Here is a 6,417-nt window from a genome sequence, read left to right as displayed (position 1 = left end):
TTCAAAGTATATTCTAATATTCATTGCAATTTTGTGTTTTACTCAGTGTTTATTCAGGAGTATGTTTTTAATGTTGTTATATTTGTGAATTTCTCTATTTGTTGTTTTACTAATTTGTAATTTATTCCTTTGTGGTCACAGAACATACTTTGTATTTTCAAATCATTTTAAATTTGTACATACTTAATTTATGGTCTAACATGAGGTCTCTCCTGCAAAATGTATCATGTGCACTTGAGGAGAATGAGAATTCTACTGTTAAGTTCACTGTAGACATCTTTTAGGTTTGGTTAGTTTATATTGTTGTTCAAATCGTATTTTTGTTCATTAATCTACCTAGTTGTCTTGTCTATTATTAGAATAGAGTACTGAAGTCTCCAGTTATTATTTTTAAATTTTTTTATTGCAATAAAACACACAAGCATAAAATTTACTATATTAGCCATTTTAAAAATAAATTTTATTATGGGCTGGGTGCAGTGGCTCATACCTGTAATCCCAGCACTTTGGGGGGCCGAGGTGGGTGGATCACCTGAGGTCAGGAGTTTGAGACCAGCCTAGCCAACATCATGAAACCCCATGTCTACTGAAAATACAAAAAAAAAAAAAAAATAGCCAGGTGTGGTGGCATAAGCCTGTAGTCCCAGCTACTTGGGAGGCTAAGGCAGCAGAATTGCTTGAACCTGGGAGGCAGGGGTTGCGGTGAGCCAAGATCATGCAACTGCACTCCAGCTTGGGTGACAGAGAGAGATCTCAAAAAATAATAAATAAATACATACATTTTATTATGCATATTTAAGGTATACAACATTATGTTATGGAATACATATAGATAGTAAAATTGACACTGTGTGACAAGGTATGTGAAGCAAATTAACATATCCATCATTTCACAGTTACCCATTTTTTTGTGGCATTTAACCAAAGCGATAAAAGATCTGTACTTTGAAAACTATAAAACATTGATGAAAAAAATCACAGAAGACACAAATAAATGAAGATATTCTATTCTCATGGATCAAAAGAATTAATATTATTAAAATGCTTATACAACCCAAAGCAAAATGCAGATTCAAGCAATTCATATCAAAATCCCAATGCCATCCTTCTTTCACAGCAATAGAAAAAAATCTTAAAATTTGTATGGAACAACAAAAGACCCCGAAGAAACAGAGCAATTATGAGAAAGAAAAATGAAGTTGGAAGCATCACCCTTCCTGATTTAAAATTACATTACAAAGCTGTAGTGATTAAAATAATACGATATTGACATAAAAACAGATACACAGACCAGTGCAACAGAATAGAGAGCTCAGAAATAAATCCAATAATATAAGATGAACTAATTTTTTTCAAGACCCCCCAAGAGGACACAATGAGGAAAAGATGGTCTCTTTGAATAATGGTGCTTGGAAAACTAGAATTCCACATGCAAAAGAATGAAATTATGTAAACATACAAAAAAATTAACCCAAATTGGATAAAAGATCTAAATGTAAGACCTGAAACCATAAATCTCCTAGAAGAGAATATAGAGGAAAACTCCTTGATAGGTTGGCAATATTTTTAGGATATTATATCAAAAGCTCAGGCTACAAAAGCAAAAATAAATAAATGGAACTACATTAAAATGCAATTCTGCACAGCAAAGGATACAATCAATAAAATGAAACATCAAGCTATGGATTGGGAAAAAAATTATAATCCATGTATCTGATGAGGAGTTAATATCCAAAATTTATAAAAGAACTCATAGAAGTCAATAGTAGAAAAACAAATGACCAATTAAAAATGGACAAAAGACCTGAGTAGACATATTTTAACCATTTTTAAGTGTACAGTTCAGTGTTATTAAGTAATCAAATTGTGAAACCATCACCAGCATCCATCTTCTGAACATTTTTCATCTTGTGAAATTGTAACTCCATACCCATTAAATGACAACTTCCCATTCCCTCTCCTCTTAGTCCCTGGAAGCTACCATTCTACTTTTTGTTTCTATGATATTGACTACTTTAAGTGTCTCATATATGTGGAATTGCACAATATTTGACCTTCTGTGACTGGCTTATTTCACTTAGCATGTCTTCAAGATTCATCCATGTTATTTATTGCATGTGGCAGGATTTTTTTCTGTTTTAAGGCTGATAATATTTCATGGTATGCATACACCACATTTTCTTTATCCACTCATCTGTAAACAGACATATAAATTGTTTCCATACATTGTCTATTGTAAATAGTGCTGCAGTGAACATGGGAGTGCAGATACCTCTTTGAGATCCTGATTTCAATTATTTTGGATAAATACCAAGAAGTGAGATTTCTGGATCATATTTAATATTTTTCAGGAATCTTCATACTGTTTTCCATAGCAGCTACACCATTTTACATCCCTGCCAACAATGTACAGGTGTTTCCATTTCTTTATATTCTTGTCAACACTGGTTACCTTTTTTTGCTGTTATAATAGCCATCTTATGAAGTGTGAGGTGATAGTTCACTATAATTTTGATTTGCCTTTCCCTCATTAGTGATATTGAGTATCTTTCTATATTCTTATTGGGCATTTGCATGTCTTTTCTGGAGAAATGTCTATTCAAGTTTTGTGCCCATTTTTAAATTGGGTTTTATGTTGTTTTGCGTTTGTTGTTGTTGTTGTTGAGTTACAGGAGTTTCATACACAATTTGGATATTAGCCTCTTATCAGATATGTGGTTTGAAATTATTTTCTCCTTCTTTGTAGATTTTCTTTTCACTCTGTTAATTGTTTCATTTGCTGCGTAGAGCTTTGCTTCTTAGTTTGATGTAGTTACTCCTGTCTAGTTTTGCTTTCGCTGCCTGTGTTTTAGGCATCATATCCAAGACAACATTTCCTAGACTAATATCATGAAGATTTCCTCTTATGTTTTCTTCTAGGGGTTTTACAATTTCAGGTCTTATATTTAAGTTTTTAATCCACTTTGAGTTAATTTTTGTATATGGTATTAGGTAAGGGTCCAACTTCATTTTTTTCATGTGAATATTCTATTTTTCCTGCACATGTTGAAAATACTGTTTGTTCTTTATCAAATGGTCTTGGTTCTCATGTTGAAATCATTTGACTGTACATGCTAGAGTTTATTTCTGCACTCTATTATTTTTCATTGGTCTATATGCCTGCCTTTATGCTATTACGTGTCTGTTTTGATTACTGTAGTTTTATAGGAAGTTTTAAAATCAGGAAGTACAAGTTCTCCAGCTTTTCTAAGACTTTTTGGCTATTTGGACATTCCTTGTTTACGTATGTATTTTGGAAAAAAATTTCTATTTCTTCAAAGAAACATAATTGGAATTTTGATAGGCAATGCCTTGAATCCACAGACTCCTTTGGGTACTATTGCCATCTTAAAAATGTTAAGTTTTTCAATCCATAAACATTTTATGTCTTTCCATTTATTTGTATCTTCTTTAGTTTCTCTCAATAATGTATTGTAGTTTTTAAAATACAGTTTTTACCTCCGTGGTTAATTTCTAAGTATTTTATTGTTTTTGATGCTATTGTAAATAGAATTATTTTCCTAATTTCCTTTTCCATTGCTCATTGTTAGTGTATAGAAATGCAAGTGACTTTTATTTTGTATTCACCTTGTATCCTGCTACTCTGCAGGATGTGATTATTAGTTCTAACAATTTTTTTTCTGTGGAATCTTTAGGGTGTTCCATTAGTTTGGTGCCATTTTTAGATGGCAAAAACTGCAACTACTTTTGCATAACCCTAATACATATGAGAAAATATCATCAGTGAGAAAAGATTATTTTGCATCTTTTATAATTAGAATGTATTTTATTTCTTTTTCCTGCTTAACTGTTCTGGCTAGAAATTCTACTACTATGTTGAGTAGAAGGGCTAAACATGGACTTCCTTTTTTGTCCCTTATATTGAAGAAGATTTCAGACTTTCAGCATTGAGTATAATATTCACTGTGGCTTTTTCCTTTATGTATCTTATTATGTTGAGATAGTTTCTGTATATTTCTAGTTCATTGAGGATTCTTTTCATGAGTTGGTGTTGAATTTTATCAAGTTCTTTCTTTTGCATTAATTAATGTGATCAATGCTGTTTTCTCCTTTATTCTATTAATGTGGTATATTACACTGATTGCTTTTTGTATGTTGAACCACCCTTGCATTCCAGAAATAAATCCAACTTGGTCATGGTTTTTAATCCTTTTAATATGTTATTGAATTTAGTTTGCAAGTATTTTGTTGAAAACTTTTCTATCAGTGTTTATAAGGAATATCTGCCCAGTTTTATTGTAGTGTCTGTCTGGCTTTGGTATCAAGGTAATGCTGGCCTCATAGAATGAATTAGGAAGAATTCCCTCCTCTTCAGTTGTTTGTAAAAGTTTGCAGATTGGTATTAGTTTTTTTAAATGTTTCATAGAATTCACCAGTGAAGCTATCTGGTCCAGGGATTTTCTTTTTCAGATGTTGATTCAAAAAATTAAATCTTTACATATTGTGTTCAAAAATATAAACTAATGTTTTTTAGTGTGCATTCGTCTCTTAAATTATGTAGAAAACAGAAAGTGAAGTTACAAACCAAAATAAAAATAATACTAGCTTTTATAATTGCCCACAGGTTCACCTTCCCTGAGAACTTTATTTTATCATCCAGCTTTAAGTTGCTTTCTAAAGTCCTTTCATTTCAATTTGAAGGACTCCCTTTAGCATTTATCATAGGGCAAGGTATGGTTTGGCTGTGTCCACAGCCAAATTTCATCACAAATTTTAGCTTCCACAATTCCCATGTGTTGTGGGAGGAGGGACGCAGTGGGAGGTAATTGAATCATGGGGGAGGGCCTTTCCCATGCTGTTCTCATGGGAGATCATGATAGTGAATAAGTCTCATGAGATCTGATGGTTTTATAAAGGGGAGTTTTCCTGCACAAGTTTTGTCTCTCATCTACCACCACATAAGATGTGCCATTTGCCTTCTGCTATGATTGTGAGGCCTCCCCAGCCACGTAAGAGTCCATTAAACCTCTTTTTTAAAAAACAAATTACCCAGTCTCAAGTGTGTCTTTATCAGCAGCATGAAAACAGGCTAATACAGTAAATTGGTACTAGTAGAGTGGGGTGCTACTGTAAAGATACCCAAAAATGTGGAAGTGACTTTGGAACTGGGTAACAGGCAGAGGTTGGAACAGTTTGGAGGGCTCTGAAGAAGACAGGAAAATGTGGGAAAGTTTGGAACTTCATAGAGACTTGTTTAATGGCTTTGACCAAAGTGCTGATAATGACACAGACAATGAAATCCAGGCTGAGATTGTGGGGAAAAGCAAGAGAGATCAGATTGTTACTGTGTCTGTGTAGAAAGAAGTAGACATAGGAGACTCCATTTTGTTCTGTACTAAGAAAAATTCTTCTGCCTTGAGATTCTGTTAATCTATGACCTTACCCCCAACCCCGTGCTCTCTGTAACATGTGCTGTGTCAACTCAGAGTTGAATGGATTAAGGGTGGTGCAAGATGTGCTTTGTTAAACAGATGCTTGAAGGCAGCATGCTCCTTAAGAGTCATCACCACTCCCTAATCTCAAGTACCCAGGGACACAAAAACTGCAGAAGGCCGCAGGGACCTCTGCCTAGGAAAGCCAGGTATTGTCCAAGGTTTCTCCCCATGTGATAGTCTGAAATATGGCCTCGTGGGAAGGGAAAGACCTGACTGTCCCCCAGCCCGACACCCGTAAAGGGTCTGTGCTGAGGAGGATTAGTAAAAGAGGAAGGAATGCCTCTTGCAGTTGAGACAAGAGGAAGGCATCTGTCTCCTGCCTGTCCCCAGGCAATGGAATGTCTCCGGTATAAAACCCTATTGTATGCTCCATCTACTGAGATAGGGAAAAACCGCCTTAGGGCTAGAGGTGGGACCTGCGGGCAGCAATACTGCTTTGTAAAGCATTGAGATGTTTATGTGTATGCATATCTAAAAGCACAGCATTTAATCCTTTACATTGTCTATGATGCAAAGACCTTTGTTCACGTGTTTGTCTGCTGACCCTCTCCCCACAATTGTCTTGTGACCCTGACACATCCCCCTCTTCGAGAAACACCCACAAATGATCAATAAATACTAAGGGAACTCAGAGGCTGGCGGGATCCTCCATATGCTGAACGCTGGTTCCCCGGCTCCCCTTATTTCTTTCTCTATACTTTGTCTCTGTGTCTTTTTCTTTTCCAAATCTCTCGTTCCACCTTACGAGAAACACCCACAGGTGTGGAGGGGCAACCCACCCCTACATGAGATGGTCTCAGATGGAGATGAGAAACTTCTTGGTAACTGGAGTAAAGTTTTTGCTGTTTTAGCAAAGAAACTGGTGGCATTTTGTCCCTGCCCTAGAGATTTGTGGAACTTTGAACTTGAGGGAGATGACTTA

At 35.3% G+C, this 6,417-nt stretch overlaps 1 annotated feature.

Annotated features, from left to right (window-relative positions):
- Window positions 5,385–6,081: an enhancer, noted in NCBI's record as "NANOG-H3K27ac hESC enhancer chr18:4917478-4918174 (GRCh37/hg19 assembly coordinates)". NCBI's record gives its function as "activates a minimal SCP1, AML or CMV promoter by ChIP-STARR-seq in naive H9 embryonic stem cells {active_cell/tissue: H9 hESC(naive)}" and the evidence as "EXISTENCE:reporter gene assay evidence [ECO:0000049][PMID:30033119]".

This window comes from Homo sapiens, chromosome 18 (assembly GCF_000001405.40).
Source record: "Homo sapiens chromosome 18, GRCh38.p14 Primary Assembly".
Lineage (NCBI taxonomy): Eukaryota > Metazoa > Chordata > Mammalia > Primates > Hominidae > Homo > Homo sapiens.
The sequence above is the reverse complement of the archived record's forward strand: the minus strand, read 5'-3'. Positions and strand labels throughout refer to the sequence as shown.